The following is a 19,548-nucleotide window of genomic DNA, read 5'->3' as shown; positions in this document are numbered from 1 at the left end:
TAACCTTATAGATTTACCTCTTGGAACTTGTTCTGCAGTGGGCAAGTTATGCAAACCTACCCCAAAAGTCCAAGAAAGCAGACAGGCTGACATACCCAGTTTCTCAGAAAGGAACATTTAACAGAGACTGGGCAACAGAAGCTGCATCTGTGTCTCAGTGGGGGCCGCAAGACAAGAGGGTGGCTCCCTGAACCGTGACCTCAGACCCAGGGGTTATATGCCACAGGGAGAGGGTAGACGTGCTCCAGAAGGGATGTGTAGGACAATTGCTCTAAGGGCAAGATTTATGGTAAGCGCAAGGAACAATAGAGAAACTGGAGATCTTAGAGACCTTCCTGGAACCAGAGTGAGTGAGAAGTCAACGTGGCAGATTAGCATCTAAGACGGAGTTCCTTCAGCCTCCACAGTACCGAAGGCTGGGGAAGGTTTTCCCTCTGGGGAAGGTTTTCCCACTTACTCTGTGTCCTGAGCAGGAAGTGTTGTGGGTTGCATTTTGTCTCTCCAAAATTCATATGTTGACATCCTAACCCCCAGGACCTCAGAATGGGACCTTATTTGGAAACAGGGTCACTGTCAATGTAGTTAAGATGGGGTCACACTGGCGCAGGTGGGCCCTAATCCAGCATGACTGGCGTCTTCCTAAAAAGGGGGAAATCTGGTTACAGACACACACAGGAGATGCCAGGTAAAGATGAAGACACAAGTTGGGGTGATGCCTCCTCAAGCCAAGGAACATGGGGGACCACCAGCCGCCCCAGGAGCCGGAGCGAGGCTGGGAACAGATTCTCCCTTGCAGCTTCAGAAGGAACCAGCAAAGGGCTGCATACCTTTCGCTATGGCATCTAAGTGCTGGGTCAGGGGGTTCTGGTGTAGGGAGCCACCATCTTGCATCACCACCATCCAACACACAGATGCGTCTTATGTCCCTAAGGCTATGTTAAATGTTCCTTTCTCAGAAATGGGATATGTCAGCCTCTCAGCTTTCCCAGACTTTTGGGGGAGGTTTGCATAGACCTGCCCACTGCAGAACAAGTTCTAAGAGGTAAATCTATTGGGTCATAGCAGTAATTTATATCTGCAGGAAAAACCACCGTTGACTTAGTGGGCTCTGCTCCCAGGCAGAGCTAGGGGGAGCTGGCCTGGCAGGAATGTCACCATGGCAATGCTCTTCACCGCAGCAGGGGAAATTCCTTCCTCCTTCTGTTAGTGGTATCCCTACGCTCACTGGGCCAACCTCCTGGCCCTTCAGAAACAGGCATAGCCCACAGGCCCTCAGTCATCGGGGGCCCAACTCCACCGCCCCTCTTCTGAGCTGCCTAGTTGGAGTAATTCCTTCTGCTTCGCCATGTTTTCCCAGCCCTGGGGTGGCAGCGGCTTCCCAAGGTTGCTACTCCATGGCGTCTCAGAGTCCCTCTGCCTTTCCATCCCTCAATACCAAGCTACCCCTTCTCTACACGGGACTCTCTGTTAGAACGATGGGTGGTTTCTGTCTCCTGAGGGGACCCCGAACAAGAAAAGTGATGGGGAAAGGGGTCTGAGTCCCGTGAGTTCGGAACATGCCAGGCTGGGCTCACTGCAGTGAAGGCCGTCTCTGCAGGGAGGTCAGGGCGGTTAATTTGCTCAGGGTCGACACAGATCTCTAGTGGTGGGGATGGGCCCAGTGTATGGCATCTCCCAGGCTTCAGCAGCCACAGGGTCCTTTTTTCAGAGAAGCCTTGCAGGAATGATGTTCCAGAGAACATCTTGGAACTCAGATCATCAAGAAGAGATGGGTTAGAACAGCACCAAATATTCAGCTTTGAATCCATTCAGCGTTTTCTGCTCGAGTAGTGAGGCCCTGACGATCTGTGAGCCAGAGAAGCTTTCAAAGCCCTTTCTCTCTGAAGTGAGGAAGGCTGTACCCGGGGCCACGAGGACCCCATAAGGCTGAATGACTGAACCCACACTGGGGTCAGCAGCGTCACAGATGTTTTTTGTGACCCTCAGCCACTTTGAGGCTCCATTTGACGGCTATGCAAGCCTCGGCCCAGCACAGAGGGCTGCCTCGAGGCGAGATGGAAACTGGGAAAGGGATGGAGTCCAAGCTCGGATCCCAGCCCAGGGTGCCTTCTGGGGTGAAGCAGGGAAGGACAAGGTCTGGTTATGGCCGTATGGCCTCTGCTCCCCGCTTCTCCAGAGGAGAGTGGACAGGTTGAGATTTCCAAGAGAAAATGCTTTCAGCAAGAGGCAATTGCTTCCCTATCAACCCTAGGCTTTCAGGAAACCTGCACCTGCCAACACCTTTTGCTGTGGCTGATTTCACTGAAGATGAGACCCCCAGCTCTGGATCTGGTGTTTGTTAGCGCAGCCGGCCCTGGACAACTGCCGAGCAGAGCTGGGCCCCCTTCCAGGGACAGCAGAAAATGCTCAAGGCTGCTTACAAAAGCAAACTCAGGCCAGGCGCGGTGGCTTATGCATGTAATCCCAGCACTTTGGGAGGCCGAGGCGGGCAGATCACCTGAGGTCAGGATTTCGGGACCATCCTGGCCAACATGGTGAAACCCTGTCTCTGCTAAAAATACAAAAATTAGCCAGGCTGGTAGTGTGTGCCTGTAACCTCAGCTTCTCGGGAGGCTGAGGCAGGAGAGTCGCTTGAACCCGGGAGACAGGTTGCAGTGAGCCGAGATCATGCCATTGCACTGCAGCCTGGGTGACACAGCAAGACTCTGTCTCAAAAAAAAAATAAAAAAAGTAAACTCAAGGTGAGCTGGGCCGCACCCGAGTCCCTGCCAGGGCTATGTAACCCTGGGTCTGCAGGTCACTCTGCCTCAGGCTCAGTCTTCATGACTGTAAAATGGGCTGAATAATTCCTCACCTGTTAGAGAGCAAAGAGCTAAGCCACAGAGCACCTGAGAAGGATGCCAGCAGCCTTCAGGTGTGGCCTGTATGTCCTCACGATCCAACAGCTCTGGGGGCAGGAAGCACATATTTTAAAGATATAAAGGTATTTCAAAGAAATGATGATAAACTACCCAGATGTCTCCCTCTGGTTCCTCCAAGAAAACACATGACAGTAAAATCGCTCTAAGCAAACTGAATCTTGGTGCAGGGAGCCAGCTTTCTCTCCATCTGAAGACACTTTCTCCTAAATATTAAGATCATTAACACGTTTCCAGACAGGAAGAATGTACTGTTGTTAGCTTTAGACAAACATTATGCTAATTTCAAATCTAGAGCCAAAAACATGCTCCCACCACAATGTGGACGTCTTATTTGTCTTGGTTTCCTCCCATGTCTGATCAGCAGATGGAAACGCAAGTGCTTCAGCTCCTAAGGGGCGCTACGGACTGCCAGAAGGTAATCAAAACCACAGGCTACAGATGATGTGGATGGGGAGGAATTCCGCTCTTCTGGGCAAACTCCGGGTTTGGCTCCTCCTGCCTCGATTTCCTCCTTCCTCTGCCTGTTACCTTTCCTGCCTCAGGGGGTCCTCAGCTAACTTCCCGGTATTCTCTTCTCTCGAGACCCCAATGTCCCTCCACTCTGGTCACCTCCGTCTTTCACAATACAGCAGAGGTAGCTCCTCTCCCTTGTCGTTCCTTCCCCCAGCCCTTCTGGCTTGAAATGCTTTTACTTCCCCGGGCCCATCTAGAATGACAGCAACTGCATGTGCCTGGCTCTGTGCTCTGGGGGCTGGGGCCCAGCATGGGATTAGGTCAGCCTTCAGGCTAGTCCAAGTGAGTGGAGGTGGGAGCCAGGGACTGGTGATCCGAGGGGGACTCGTGCCAAGGACCATGATGGGACAGAGCAGAGGTGGCAGATTTTGCCCAAGGAGGCCCGAGAATCTCCAAGTGAGATGTAAACGCTGCCCACAATGTTTAAGACATCATTTAACAAAGAGTCGGTGCCCTAGGGTGCAGGCAAGTCCCAGCGTGGCAGGGAGGAGGCACCGAGGCTTGGGGTTGTGAGTCAGCCCAGACCAGCTGCAGGACACAAAGCAGGTAGGGAGGGACTTGCCAGAAGAGCTGGAGAGGAGGGAATGCCTGAGGCAGAGGGGCTGCTGCCAGGTTCAGGAACCCATTTGCTGGGCCATCTTGGGCAAATCACTCCACCTCTCTGGGACTCTGCGTCTGCACTTCTAAATGAAGACAGCACGGTGGCCTCACAGGCCAGCTGAAGAACACGAGTGAGGTCACGGCCACGAGTGCCACATGGGAATGGCCCTGGCTGTCTGCTCCCTGCCCCGTTCCAGAAACCAGCCTGATGACTGGCCAGTCAAAGGAAGAGAGGGAGGAAGGAGGAAGAAGGAGAAAAGGAAGGAAGGCAGACAGGAGAGAAGGAGGAGGGGAGGGCGAGAAGGTGGGAAGGACAGAGGGAGGGAATATGTGTTTTTCTTTTGCAGAGACTATAGAGCTGCTTAGACCACTTGAGATGCAAAACCCAAGCCACACTTCGGGGTAAACTCTTCCAAAAAGTGTTTGTTTGGGAAAAAAAAAAAAAAAAGACTTGTTAGGGGAAAAGTCCCTCCAGGTTTCCGTGGTAACCCCCAGCTCCAGCCAGGATAAGTGAACTCATGGAGGACCCAGCAACTCCAGAGACATCTTCCAAGCCTGAGACCCCCTGGGAGCTGGAGCAGGATGATCTTCCAAAGCTGAGCCCCCTGGGAGAACAGTGATCTTCCAAAGCTGAGACCCCCGGGAGCAAGGTGATCTTCCAAAGCTGAGACCCCCGGGAGCACGGTGATCTTCCAAGGCTGAGACCCCCGGAAGCACGGTGATCTTCCAAGGCTGAGACCCCCGGAAGCACGGTGATCTTCCAAGGCTGAGACCCCCGGAAGCACGGTGAGCAGGCTGTCCAGCTATCTCTACAATGGCCCTGTCATTCCTTGAGTAACTCAAGGCGATGTGCTTTTCCAGTGAATTGAACCTGGAGCTGTGTTGATTTGTTTTTCCCGAACTCATTTCCATTTAAATCAGCTGACCTTCAGCCCCTTGCATAATGCAGGCGTTCTTGAAGAGAAATCAATCAACACTTGAAGGAAATGGATTTGTGTTTGCATCTTCTCGGATGGGCCTTCTGCCCTGCATGCCCAAGGTCTAAATCTGTGTTTCAATCACTGTGCACGTGTGTGTGTGCGCATATATGTGTGTGTATGCATGCACTTGTGTGTGCAGAGGCTAGGTGGCAGGGGGCAGCCATGTCCCAAATTCAAATCTACCTCTTCCTGCTGCTGTGTGCCCTTAAGTGAGTTCCCTAACCTCTCTGGGCCTCTGTTTCCTCTTCAGTGAACTGAGGTTGGCCTGTTATTTCACCCGGTTATTGAAGGAATCACCAGGAAGCAGAGATGTCTGTCTCTCAACAGCGCCTCTTCTCAGCACTCCCCACCTCCTCAACCTCCAGAGTGTGGAAAGAACCATGATCTTGGGCACTGCCATACCCTGCAGGTCCCCAGGCCTCCATCCCTAGAACACAGCAGGCACAGTGGCTGGGGGGGAGGGCCACCTGGCCTAGGGACTAGGCTCCCTGCCCACCAGCCTCCTGAGGTCAGGCTGGAGGGATGGGGCCTGCGTCAGTGTTGGTGGCCAGCAAGGACTCAGCTTGTTGTGCAGCTCCAGGTGGCTGGGACCGGGGCACCACGCTGAGCTGGTAGACTCCTGGACCTGCCCACTGAGCTGGAAGGCCCGCCACACCCTGTTAGCATGGAACATGCCACCGTCAAAGTCCTAGTGTGCTTCCCGGAACCCCTGAGAGCCCAGGGGCCTCTTCAGGGCCCACACACTTGTCATACATCGGCTGTGTATGAGGGAGCGGGCCCAAGCCAGGGCATGGGGTGTGGAGGCCCAGGAGCGCTTGCCTGGCCACCGTTCCCAGGAGGGGCTGGGGAATTATCTCCAGGTCAGCTTCATCTTGTGGATCCACCTGCCTGTCTGCTCCTACTCAGACCCCATCCACTCCTTACAGCTAGGTAAACTGAGGCCCACAGGGGCCAGCGCCTTGCCCAAGTTTCTCCCACAGAGCTTGGATTCCTCCCAGAACCTAATCCTCAGAACCCAGAAGCGTTTTCTGGGGCCAGAGAAACAAGAGGTCTTGGGTCCAAGCCAGGGCCTCCTCGGGCGGCTGTCGCAGGCCATTTGCTCAGCTTTTGGGGCTGGTTTGTCACTGGGAGAGCTCCAAGACCCATGGCTGGGCCCAGGGGGATATGGGCCATTAGCCCCATCAGTGCCCCTAGAGTCCCTGAGCTTCTTGAACTCTGCCTGGGCTTGGTAAGGGTGCCTGGCTGTGGGACTCTGGGTGGCAGAGGCCACCCTGCATCCCATAGGCCCTGAGCCCGAGGCCCAGAATCTGCTCTCTCTGGCCTGAATGCACAGGCACCCACCCTGCGCTGCTGTGGACCTGGGGCCTGTGGGCTGCGTGACTCTGGACCCCTTACCCAGCTGCCCTGGGCCTCCTAGTTTTTGTCCTCCAGATGGGGGTGACGTCATCATTGTGAGGCTCAAAGGGGAACCCACCCGAGGTGCGCACAGCACCCCACCCCTCCCTGCCCCTCCCCTGCCCCACACTGGGAGGGGGAGTTATTCTCCCCAACATTCAGGAGGCAAAACTAGCGCCTGAGAAACACACCCAGAATGTGGCCCTGAGACCAGGCCCTTGGCAGACCCAGCTCCAGAAACCTGGGCCCTGCCTCCTCTAAGTCACAGTCACCATCATCCACCTTGGCCCTCTTCCCGCCCCGCCCTCCTCCCACCCCTACCTGTTACCTCCTGAGAGTAGTTAAGTCAGATCTCCAGGGTAGACCTTCGACATCCCTGCAGAGGGCTGGGCCAAGGGTGACACTGCACCATTAGCCCTAACTGTGCCCCTAGAGTCCCCAACGCAGGGGGAGAGGACAGCCCACAGGCAGCTGCCTGGGGAGCAGCAGCAGGACAAGGGCGGCCCTAATTTGCAGGGATCTCCCTGAGCCCCTCTGAGACCAGCCCCACCTTGCCCAGGGCCCAGGACTGAGCACTCAGGGTGCACAAGGGAAGAACGGCCTGCCGCTGGCGCAGGTGGAGGCTCTCTGTGGGGGGTCTTAGTCCAGAAGTCAAGGCTAGCTCCATGGGCTCAAGGGACCTGTACAGTCCCGCAGGGCCCCGTTCAGAAGGGCCCCTCCTCTGTGTTTGCTGCCTTCAAAGTCACAATATTTCTTGAGTTTTTGAGCAAGGGCCATCTTTCATTTTGCACTGGGCCACATGGATCATGTAGCCGCACCTGCCTAGAGCAGGGCCTCTCACTGAGGGCGGGGTGTTCTGTCCCCAGAGGTCAAAGCCCAGAGAAGTTAAGACACTGCTGAAGGTCGCCCAGGGCCTCTGGCACAACCAGGCCTGGGACACTTCCCACGATGGGCAGAACAGGAGACAGGAGGAGGGTCTCTGCTGCTCGGGGGACTCCCAGCCGCCGCCGGACCCCTGAGGCGCCCCCCACCCCCGCCTGACCCCATGGCAGCGCCTGGCAGGGCGCAGGGTCACCGCCCTGCCGGAAGGTTAAACAAACAGAAGCGGAGGAGGGGGCCAGGAGGGGGAGTTCCAGCGCTTCTCGGCTTTCGGGGCGAGTTGGTGCCCCCCGCCGGGGCCTGGTGGGAGAGGGGAGATAATCCGCCCCGGCAGAAGCGCCTCCGGGAGGCTCCGGGTCTGCCACGGCCCCTTGGCCCTGGAAGAGGACGGCAGCGGAGAAACCTGGCTGCGGAGCGGCGGGAGCGCAGGGCCGGGGCGGGCCGCGATAAGATGAGGACAGCACGGGCTGGGCCGGGGGCGGCCGCAGAGGCCGGGCTGGGGACGAGCACTCCCTAGGGTGAAGGTACTCGAGGTCCCAATGCGCCCCGAGCGCTCCCTGCCCTCCCCGTGCAGGCGCCGCTGGCAGTGGCTTCGTTCCGGTAATTTAAAACCGTGGGGAGAAGCGGGGCTGTTGAGCGCTGAGACGCAGCCCCGACCCAAGGTCAAAAGCCGCGCGAAGAGCAGTTAAGATGGGACTTTGTTCTTGCTGGTAACGCATTGGGCCACACGACAGGGGCGACCTCGCCACCTGGTCCTTCGCCAGAGGGGAGCGCCAGCTCATTGGGGTCGCATTGTCCCCAGTGGCGCAGCGTGTCTGCCTGCCAGATTCCGGGGCAGTTGGGCAGAGGCCGGGATCCCCCGCAACCCGGCCTTCGGGCCACCTCTGCCGCGCTCGGTCTCTGCCCAGGAGTCCAGGCTGTGTTTGGCCGGAAGGGGCCCTGGGCCCATTTTGAGAACGGCGTTACTACCGAAGGGGTGGGTGGCGGAACTGAGGAGGGAGCAGGGCTGCGACCTCACCCCCACAGCCTCTCGTCACCTCGAGAGCCTCAGCTGCGCCGTCTGGGAAACCGAGGCTCAGGGCTGCACCGAGCAGAGGTGTAAGGGGGACCCAGGTAGGCCACAGGGCAGGAAGGTAGCGCGGGCGGAGGTCGCTCCTGCCGCGGCCCGGCGCCCCGGGAAAGGCCCGAGGCACAGGAGAGCACCGTTCTTGGGACCGGAACCGATGGGTAGGGCCACAGGGCCAAGCGTCTGAGACCGCGTCCCAAAACCCAGCGCAAGCCCCCGACCGCCGGGGCTCGGCTGCAGTAGGTCACTCCGGGGGACCCGGTGCTCCGAGGCGAGAAGAAAGCGGGACGGGCAACAGCGGCGGCCCACGGTGCCCGGGAAGGGGGCAGTGGTGGGAAACGAGAGCGCGCCGGGCCCCGCGTGGTTTCCCCGCGTGCTTTTTTCCCTAAACTCTTAAGACCAATCGTGCGCACCAGGCACTCGACCATGTCCAAGTCTGCTCGCTCCGTCGCGGCATGGACTCTCCCCAACTTTGAAACAGGGCGGCGGGTGGGGTGGCGGCTTCGGGCCGGCAGACAGTAATTCCTGCCCGGGAGGGTGGCCTCGGGAGAGGCGCTGGGTCCTCGGGAACTGCGCCGCGGTAGTCACTCGCCTGCTGTTGGTGCCCACGTCCCCGCGGGGGCTGCACTCGCACACGCCGCGCTAGACCGACCGGAGGCAGGCGTTTCCCGGAGCCAAGGCGCGCACCGACGCGGGGAGGGGGCAGGCGGCCGGGTGGGGGGAGTCGGCTTGCTGTCCGCAGCGTCGTGGGGCGGGGGCGCGGCCATTGGTGTCCTTTCTTGGAGAGGTCACATCAGAGCCTTGAGCAACCGAGAAAGAAACCCAGACAAACAGGGAAGGAAGCGTCTTATCCGGCTTAAAACGCGCAGATGCTGCGGGCGGGGTGGGCCGAGGGGTGGCGGCGGGCAGAGGACCCAGGAGGGCCCCGCCCGCCATCGGTGCCCGCGCCTTTGGACCCCCCGCCGCTCTCGGGAACCCGGGGCCCCGGGCGCCTCCGAGAGGGCGGCAGCCGGGGAAGGGCGTGGGGGGAGGGGAGGGGTGGCGTGGGGATGAGGGAGGGGGTGGCGTGGGGGGAGGGGAGGGGTGATGTGGAGTGAGGGAGGGGATGGCATGGCTGGGGAGGCAGATGGCGGGCCCTGCTGGGCTGGCTGCCTGCGCTCTTTCGCCGCCAAGACTTCTCGGCAAACCCAGCCTGCGTCCGGGGAGGGCGTGTTTGCGGAGTTAGGCCAGCGAGGACGCGGAGACCCAGTGGAGGAGCTACTGTGAGTGTAGTTCCTCCAGACTGTTCGGCTCGCGATAGCGTCTTCGTAAGCGTCTGTGTTTGCGGGGTAACCGCGGGTCCCATGCAACCCAAAGCCTCAGTCTTCCTCCATAAAATGGGGCTAACAGGGCCGCCTGGGGATGTCCTGGCTGGCCCGTGGTGCGCCTGGGCTCTCTGAGTTTCTCGAGGAGCCGCCCGCAGCTCCGGGAGGGCCCGAGACAACTCGCAGCTTCGCGGTCGCAGACGCCTGGGTTCGCACACGCGGTCAGACCGGGCACCACGGTAACAGCGCTCAGGTGACGCAACTTGGCGCTCCAGTTGCGCGCGGCCCAGCGGGGCTGCAAACGCCGAGCTGGGGAGGAGGAGATAGGGCAGGACGCAGCCGGGAAGACTGCCTGGAGGAGGCCAGGTCAGAGCTCCGCTCTGAAGGGCATGAGTCGGGAGTGTTGAGTGTCCTCTCCCGTCATTTCACCACTCCAGAGTCCCGAAGGTTCCCACCGTCTTTTCCCAACCCACATGGGGCAAGGATCCCGCCCCCAAACCCCGACTTTTCCTTGGGGTTTCAGTACCGGCTCACAGTGGCTTTGCGGGGTTCAAACGTGCAGCTGCGGCTCGGATTCGTTTCTGTCCGCGGATAGGATGGAGCGTCTGTGAGCCGCGGGTTCTCGGTTTTGGGCGAAGCAGTGAAGCAAACAGTGGCTCTCGCAGGGAGCTTTTAGGGGTGTGGTGGTGTAAAGCACACAGAGAACGCTGCTGTATGGTCTGAGGTCAGGGAAGGGGACTGGGCATCTGAGCTGGGTGTGAGCAACACGAAAGCCATTTCCCCGGTGCTGGGAACAGTGGAGATGTGACCGCTGCTGCCTGCGCTTGAAGGCAGCGCCTGGAGTTTGGAGGACCGAGTCTAGGAGCGGAGTTTGGAGTTAGAGCTCCTAAGAGGAGACGAGGAGACAGCGGTCCCTGAGACCCCAGCGACGGGACAGCATTGGGACTTGGTGCACATGGGACCAGCGTTAGGAGGGGAGCCGAAGCCTGGAACTGGCAGTGCAGGGGCTGCAGGGCCTGTGAGGCCTCCTCAGGCCTGCTTTCCCTACTCCCAGCTAGGGGAGGGGTTCAGAAATGCCTGCGGGGCTGAGGCTGTGCCTGGGCCAGCCAGGCCTTGCCGGCGACCCACCACGACCTGGGGTGGGTGGGGAGGACAGTGTTGGTCCCAGCAACAGCACTGAGGTAGAACTCATTAGTAATTTTTTTTTTTTTTTGAAGATGAGGCCTCGCTGGGTCACCCAGACTAGACTGCAGTGGTTTGATCACAACTCCCTGCAGCCTCGACCTCCTGGGCTCAAGCGATCCTCCAACCTCAGCCTCCCGAGTAGCTGGGACTACAGGTGCGCACCAGCAGACCCGGCTAGGGATCATCATCATTACACCCATTCTCTGGAGGAGAAACCTGAGGCTCAGGTCACTCAGCAAAATACACTAAACACAGTGAAACGGGTGCACTTCACTTGGAGTCTAGTCAGCCATTTGGGACACACCTCCCAGTCCAAGAGATAGCTGGACAGTGGAGAAATGGAACCCCTCCTGGAGCCAGGACTGGCTCAAAGAGCGGTGGGTTGTATTCAAGGCTGAACAAGCTTGAGAAGCCCCTGCTGCCCGGGCACAGCCAGGCAGAGACTGGAGAGGAGGAGGAAGTGCAGCAATGCCCCAGACCCAAAGAACAACCTGGTTGGGGGGATGGTGCCAGGGCTGGATAGAGGAAGACCAAGTCCCCCCATGCCTCCTCCACTCTCCAGGGAGCACTGTCTGGCCTACCTCAATTTGTGAAAATGCCAGCTCACGTCCTGGGGAGTGGAGCTTGCAGGGGCACCTGGGAGAGCCTCTGCCCAGCTGGAGCAGCTGTCAGGTTTGCCTAGTTTGCTGCTGCAAGCGATTAGATACAGAATTGGCGCACTAATTCTGGGTCCCAGCAGCCCCATCCAGTGACATGAAGACAGTTTAAGTCCCCTGGAGCACAGATAATCCCCTTGTCGCTGGGCTCCCTGGCCCTGCCTGAGCTGCTTCTGTAAAATGGGGCAGCCAGGCTTGGGAAAAGCAAGGCGGGGTGCTGTGTCTGAGAGCGCTCTGACAGCGCCAGGCAGGGGTGAGTGTCAGGGTTTGACAAATCCACTCCCCCCACCCATTTTGGAAGATAATTGGCTTGGGGATGACCCTGTCCTCTTGGCCTCAGCCCTTCCTTCCCCCGGGGATAACCCTGGACATTTTTTTTTTTTTTTTTTGAGATGGAGTCTTGCTCTGTCGCCCAGGCTGGAGTGCAGTGGCGTGATCTCGGCTCACTGCAAGTTCTACCTCCCGGGTCCACGCCATTCTCCTGCCTCAGCCTCCCGAGTAGCTGGGACTACAGGCGCCTGTCACAACGCCCGGCTAATTTTTTTGTATTTTTAGTAGAGACAGGGTTTCGCTGTGTTAGCAAGGATTGTCTCGATCTCCTGACCTCGTGATCTGCCTGCCTCGGCCTCCCAAAGTGCTGGGATTACAGGCGTGAGCCACCGCGCCCCGCCCCGCCCCTGGACATTTACATTTAAGGGGAGTAAACAGGATTTCTGGCCCTGGGAGCTGTTAGGATGGTTTTAGAGACCCCTAAAGTAAATCCAGCCTCTGCCTCCTCTGGTTGGTGGCTCTGGGTGAGTGCCACCACCTCCCAGGACCTCTGCTTTCTCCTGGCAAAGCCTGGGTGTGAGCCTGGCTCCAGGTTTACCTGTCACAATTGATCGTGATCTTGCACGTTGATTTGCTTATTTGTATGACGTCTGCAAACTGTACTGACTTGTTCACAGCTAAAGCCTCACTCATCAAACTTTGCCCAGCACAGACAGATTGGGAATGAAGGAATAAATGAATGAGTGCGGGAGGGACCCCACCATTTACTAGACCCAGTGGAGGATTTCAAGGGAAGCTAAGCTCAACGAGGGTGCACATCACTGCTGGGTGCTGGAGGTTCTGGGCCCTGTGGGGCAGGCACTGCCACCTGCCATTTCCCTCCCTGCGCCAACCTTGTGCAGCAGCGGCTCAGGACCGAGTCTTGTCGGGGTTTATGGGGCCCTGGCGCAGCAGCCAAACGTCCTTCTGAGAAGTTGGGGGAGGGTCTTTGAGATCCCAGAGAGGCAAGGGGCGGAGAGAATTCGTAGCAATTTAACAAAAGGAAGCTACTTCTGTGGGGGTGGGATAGCACATGGTCGGGGCACAGTTACTGGGTGGCCCCTGAGCGTGGCAGTCCAAGGCCCCTGCTGCCCTTGCCTTTCTGGTTTATTTTTTCCTTTTCTCCACCGCGTTTACTCCTGTGCAGCACAGTGCATCCCCCTGGAGATCTAAACGAAATCCCCTGGAGGAAAGGCAGACTCCACGCATGGCCCTCAGGCACCTGCTCAGTCCCCTTCTTGCAGGTGCAGATCTCCCTGCGCAGGGGAAGAGGCCAGGTTTGTAGCTGTGAGGTCCCACCCAGCTTGGCGTCAGCACTGGGAAATCGGGGCAAACCCGTTCTTTTCTCAGGCTCAATTTTCCTCCACAGTGGAGCCGGGTGGCAGACTCTAAGGGACCATGAGGACCAGGCGCTGGGTAACCGGGAGGTGACTGACTCCCATACATCTCTCAGTGCCAGCTCTCCACCTGCTTTCAGGAGGTTTTTGGCTTCAATCATTTTGCATCAGTTTGGCCAAGAAAAGGCCCTGGAAGCAGTCGGGGTCGCCGAGCATCCAGCCCGGTTGTGTAGGGAGGGCATTTGGCCCAGCACCCAGCACCCGGCACCCAGCACCCAGCACCCAGCACTCAGCACAACACACACCTGTCACCTGTCACCTGGCATCCGGCACCCAGCACAGCATGCACCTGGCACCCAGCACCCAGCGCCTGGTACCCAGCACCCGGCACAGCACGCATCTGGGGCATTCAGTTCCTCCTGGGCTGGGTGCAGCAAGGCTGGGCGCGCTGTCTGCATTGGGAGGGCCGGCCGCCCCAGGCTTCTCCCTTTGGTACTGGGGAAGGGGTGGCCTCCTCTCTCTGGGAAACATGTTGCTGCAGCACAGCCTCAAGGGTTGGGGGTGAGCTGTGGGGTGCGGAGGTGGAGGGGCCTGAGGAGCACGGACAGTCTGGGACCACTGGCCTGTGCCCCATTGCTGCAGGGGAGGGAAAGGCTCTGTCATCGTCTTGGTTCCTGTCACCCTCACTACAAAGTGACTATGTGTATTTTTCCAATGAGAAAACTGAGGATCAAAAAGACAGTGGGCCTCGGAGCTTGGCTTGGCATTTACCAACCTGGGGGTGGGGGGGTGGCACTAAGGCCTGAGGCCCGCATGCAGCCTGTGGAGCCAGGACGGAGCTGCAGGCAGCTGTTGGCAGACTCACGGCATCAGTATCTCCCAGCAACCATACATCTGCCTCCCGGTAAAGGCAGGAGGCTGGGGTTGTTTTTGGAGAACTTGAGTTGGAATTGTGATGATGGGCAGGGCTGAGGCCCCTCCCCAGGCATTAAATGAATAAGAGGCAGGCAAAATCTCTCCCTGCTCCTCCTGAAGAAGCTCCCCTCCTGGTGGAAGTCCTGCCTCTGTGGACCAGAGGAGCCTGCTCCCCCGAAGTGATGCTGCCGTCGGGGGCCGATTGCAGCCTCATCTTGGAATTACACTTTAAAGTTGTATTCAGTCAGAGCATCTATGTGAATGCTACAGGTATTGGCCAGGGAGTGGGTTCTTCCCTGCCTGGGCTGCCCCTCAGAGGGCACTGAGATCATCCTCTGCCCTTCATGGACCCCAGTTTCCCCCTCCTGTAGATGGACCCTGTTGGACTGAAGTCTCAGCAACCCCTGAATCTCCATTTGCTGATTCTGAGCCTCCTCCAGTCCTTGCCTCCTCAATTGCCTTTTCATTAAGTGATGCTGTCTTTGCATATGTGGGGAAGAGTGGAGTTCAGGAAACTGGTGCTCCAGAGACCCCGCAAATGATTCCTAATTAAGTTAGTTCTCTGAACTTCACATCGGCTTATTGTTTTTAGATGAAGATTAAATGGAAGTGAGCTATTTTCCACTTCAGATGTCCCCATGAGACAGCCAGGCTAGATGCTGCCCCCTGTTGGCCTTCTGCACTAATTGCAGGCAAAGAAGCAACAGAGAGGACAAGCAGCCTTGCAGCTGCTTAATTTTTGCGGCTGCTGGACTTGAATACAGACCTGAAGTGGCAATAATAACATCTTTGAGGGATTCTAAAGGGGGTCAGGGACCCTCCTCCTTCCCTGCTGTGTAGAAACACAAAGTAGGAGCCAGAAGGAGACTTGGGGCCCAAGCCCGCTCTTGCGCCCTGCACTCCTCTGTCATTCATGTGTGATTGGACCCTGAAGAGTGCCTGGCCTGGCTTCCCATGTGCGCAAGGACAGGGCTGAGCTCCTTCTGGGATCTGTCTTGGGGCCAGAACAGGGCCTCGCCTGTTGACTGCATTACATCAGTAGTTGTCGGACAAATGACTAAGCAAATAAATGAGGTGACTTCATTCCTCCAGGCCTGAATTTGTAGTCTATGAGATGAGGACAGAAGAGGCAATGCCCCGGTGGGGATGAGACATTCCTGGCTGGGAGGACTATGTGAACAGCACAGGACTCTGCAGACAGCAGTATTGCCCGCCCCCCACCCCTGACCTCACCTGCTGGTCTGGCCTGCCAGGAGCCCTGGGTCATTGCTGTCAGATTTAGGTTGCATATTTGGTGGCGGGGAGCGGGGTGGCTGTGCATATAGGATTCCCCTGGAGATGGTCCGATTAGCATTTTTAGGAACAAGGAAGAGTCATTTTTAAAGCTCACTTCAGTTCTTCTCCTTCGTAGGCCCAAAACCACATTGGAAACTTTAAGATACCATGTGAATTGTAGAAATGGTGTGGGTGTGGAGATGCAGGGGAGTTTTTTTTGTTTTGTTTTGTTTTCTTGAGATGGAGTCTTGCTCTGTCGCCCAAGCTGGAGTGCAGTGGCACCATCTCAGCTCACTGCACCCTCTGCCTCCAACGTTCAAGTGATTCTCCTGCCTCAGCCTCCTGAGTAGCTGGGATTACAGGCGCCTGCCACCATGCCCAGCTGATTTTTGTATTTTTAGTAGAGATGGGGTTTCACCATGTTGATCATGCTGGTCTCGAACTCCTGACCTCGTGATCTACCCGCCTCGGCCTCCCAAAGTGCTGGGATTACAGGCACAGGGGAGTTTTAAGAGGGAAAATGCGCATTTCCGCATCTCTGTCCAAGGAGGGTGTTGTTATTTCAAGTCAGTTCCACAAACTTCCTGGAGGTGGCGGCCTTGGGACAGGACGTTCATCCCAGCGCGGCTCTACTTTGCGTATTTAAGCCTTCAGAATAAATTAACCTTAGATGAATACTTCCACTGTGCTAAAGAAGCGAGAGAATTCCAGCAAAATCTGGTTCATTGACAGACGGTTGGCCCGGACAATTCAGGTCCAAGGAGTTGTGCTGTTTTAGCACGTCCTCCCCTGGTCCTGAGAATGTAATGTAGGGTGATTGGGACACTGTTTGTGGGCAAATTTATTTGAGGTTATTTTAAAGCTGGTGTCTGTCCCCATCTTCATCTCGGTGCTGTGAGTCCGCCGGGGGCACCCTGGACTGAGAACCAGGCCCCACCTTGCAAATGTCCATGTGCTGGTTGCCCCTCCCAGCCCCATCCAAATGATCCCTTTTGGGGTGCTCAGAATAGACTGGTGGGGACAAAATGAACTTCGTTGGTTGCTAAGAATCATAGGCACAGGGATTCACGTGGGCCCTGTGGAGCTGAGGGCAGTCAGAGACCGCAGTGCAACAGACTCATTCCCCTAAAGGTGGCACAGGTATCCAGGCTTGTCATAGGGGCTGTGTCTGTCTAGAGGCCTCTAACCGGGGGGAGGGGGTCCCGGCTTGACTGGGGCCTGGCAGCCAGATGCCCACTCACCCACTCCTTCTCAGGCCTGGGGCATTCAGAGAGCTGCTGCCACCCTGTCCCCTCTGGCAGCACAGGCTTTGGGTCTTCTGTGGAGTTGGGTGATGAGTGTGTCAGATTTGATGGGAGCCCAGTCATCCATCCAGCTGTCGCCCCCACTAAGGGGTCCCCCTTCCTGCCTGCCTCCTGCCAGTGTGAGCAGTTATCCCCAAGGAGGGCTGTAGCCAGCCCCAAGTGGGCTTACCACCAAGAGGGGCCACAGGGAGAAGGGGCCAAGGGAGTTGAGATGTGGGAGACATGATTATCCCCCACCCCAGATACCTCCACAGGGGCTCGGGCTAGGCCCCCAGCCTGCAGGGAGACCGAAGTTCAGGGTTAGAGGAGACTCAGACCACCTCCTTCCCATCCCCGGAGCCCACCCCTGTTGGCTTCTGAGAAACCCAGCCATGCTGCCACACTGGCTTCTCTGATGCACTGAAGATGGCGGGAGGAGGTTGTCTTGTCAAAGGAAGGGACCCCAACGCACAGCTTGAGACCCCATTAGACACATCTCTTCCCAAGGCTCTCTGCTGGCCCTTCTCATGGAAGATCCCCACTCGCCTTCTTGTCCTTATAATTGGTCAGCCTGGTTCCAGCTGGTTTCAGCCTGAAGGGTGGGCACTAGCCTGGAACTTGCCTCTTCCTTACACCCAGCTAGCTCTCACATGTTCTCAAAGAGCTGGCCTCTGCACTACTGAGGTCCCTTTTCAGCATCTCAGAAGCACAGTCTTTCTGCACATCATTACAGGCTTAAGTCAAGGGGGTGGTAGGAGCAAAAAAAAAAATGAGTAACCTTGCAGAGTAGTGAGTTCCCTGTCAGGACAGGTATGTGAGCAGCAGCAAAATGATCCCTGTTAGGAGTTTTCTACACTGGGCCATTGCTTGGGAGCCTCCCTTTGAACTAGTTTTCCAGGCTGACTCCTAGACGAGTCAACACTTCTGTTCTGTGGCTCAAAATCGCACTTTCTGCAGTCCCTGGGGTAGCCTCACCGAGGCCAAAGGAGCAAACAGCTGATACGCTACATAACTTTGGAGGGGCCCTGGCTCAAGCTACTGCACGGAGGCTAATGAGCATTTAGGGCTGAATACTGTCTGCTGTCATCCCTTTTTGCTTGTATAGCAAAATAGACTGGGTAATTGATAAAGAACAGAAATGTATTCCTCATAGTTCTGGAGGCTGGGAAATCCAAGATCAAAGTGCCAGCAAATCTGGTGTCTAAGGAGGACTTGCTCTTTGCTTCTACTATGGCATCTTCTTGCAGCGTCCTCACATGGCAGAAGGACAAAAAAAAAGTGAACTCGCCCCCTCAAGCCCTTTTATAAGGGCACTTCTTACCTCCCCAAGGCCCTAGCTTGTCATATTCTTGCACTAGGAATTAAGTTTCAACATGAATTTGGGAGGGACACAAACATTCAAACCTCAGCACTATTTCCCGAAGATATCAGGTGCTAAACCTAGAACCTGTAAATGTTGCCTTTTGCAGGAAAGGGTGTTTGATAATGAGATTAGGTAAGGATTTTGAGATGAGCAGGGAGTATCCAGGTAGGCCCTAAATGCAATCATGTATATACTTAATGAGTGGGAGGCAGGGAGACCTGGCCACAGACACACAGAGAAGGCCGCATGAAGGCAGAAACAGTTTGGAGCCATGTGGCCACAAGCCAAGGAACGCCCAGAGCCACCAGGGGCTGGAAGGGGCAAGAAGGAGCCCCCCCCGAGGGCCTCCCGTGGAGTGCAGCCCTGCTGACTCCTCATTTCAACCCGGCATTACTGACTTTGGACTTGTGGCCGCCAGACTGGGAGAGAATACATTTCTGTTGTTTTATGCCACCAGGTTTGTGGAACTCTACGGGTACAGGTGGACTAAGGCCAGGTGTATGTGGATTGGTCTTTGGTGTTTCACAGACAAAACTCAGCGTCGTAGCAACCTCGGAGCCCAGGCTGCGGCTACAGAGCCACCCAGCAGGACTTGCTGCCTGAGGTCTGAGGGGCCTCCACTCTCTGCCTGAGGTCTCAGGGGCCTCCACTCTCTGCCTGAGGTCTGAGGGGCCTCCACTCTCCGCCTGAGGTCTGCGGACCTCCACTCTCTGTCTGAGGTCTGGGGGCCTCCACTCTCTGCCTGAGGTCTGGGGGCCTCCACTCTCTGTCTGAGGCCTGGGGGCCTCCACTCTCTGCCTGAGGTCTGGGGGCCTCCACTCTCTGCCTGAGGTCTGAGGGACCCTCTCCACTCTCTGCCTGAGGTCTGGGGGGCCTCCACTCTCTGCCTGAGGTCTCAGGGGCCTCCACTCTCCGCCTGAGGTCTGGGGGTCCCTCCATCAGGAATGTTGGTGGGGAGGGTGCTTCTCCTCCACCCTGCCTACACACAGCCATAAGAGAGTTTGAGTGGGGCAGGGAGAGAAAGTTTCATTCTTGCCTTGTCTCCTTCAAAATCCTTCTCACACTTCAGTTATCAAACTTGTCCTGCAGACGCCAGAACAGATACGCTCTGCAAGGCCCTGTAATGAGAAATGGCTCAGCGGGAGGGTGCCACAGGATGAAGACGATTCCATTTCCAGTCTTCCCCAGGCCAAGCCTCTGCCTTCCAGCAGCTCTGGAGGAGCAAAGATTCCTGTAGATGATGATAGATGGGTGGGCGATGATGTGACCTAAGTTCACCCCTCCAGCCGGCAAACATTTCACCCACTGTGGGACCCGCTGAAAAGCTCACTGGTTTGGGACGACCAGCTCTTGGCAGTGAGGAGGTAACGGTCTCCACAGGCCACTGGCATGAGAGGGGGCCGGCTGCCTCTGCCCACTCAAACGCCAGCACCTACTGTGCGCAGAGCCCTGAGCTGGGGTGCACACAGATGTCATCTCTGTCCTCTGTCTGATGACAATCTCGGCAGCCAGCAGGGGGTGCGGCAGATGGTGTGGTGCTTAGAGGAGCCTAGGGGGTAGGGAGGAG

The 19,548-nt window shown here is 57.2% G+C and overlaps 1 annotated feature.

Moving 5' to 3' along the window:
• Positions 9,151 to 10,150: an enhancer, noted in NCBI's record as "H3K27ac-H3K4me1 hESC enhancer chr4:8893515-8894514 (GRCh37/hg19 assembly coordinates)". NCBI's record gives its function as "activates a minimal SCP1, AML or CMV promoter by ChIP-STARR-seq in naive and primed H9 embryonic stem cells {active_cell/tissue: H9 hESC(naive and primed)}" and the evidence as "EXISTENCE:reporter gene assay evidence [ECO:0000049][PMID:30033119]".

The sequence above is a fragment of the Homo sapiens genome, chromosome 4, assembly GCF_000001405.40.
Source record: "Homo sapiens chromosome 4, GRCh38.p14 Primary Assembly".
Taxonomy (NCBI): domain Eukaryota; kingdom Metazoa; phylum Chordata; class Mammalia; order Primates; family Hominidae; genus Homo; species Homo sapiens.
This window is presented reverse-complemented; position numbering and strand designations above follow the sequence as displayed.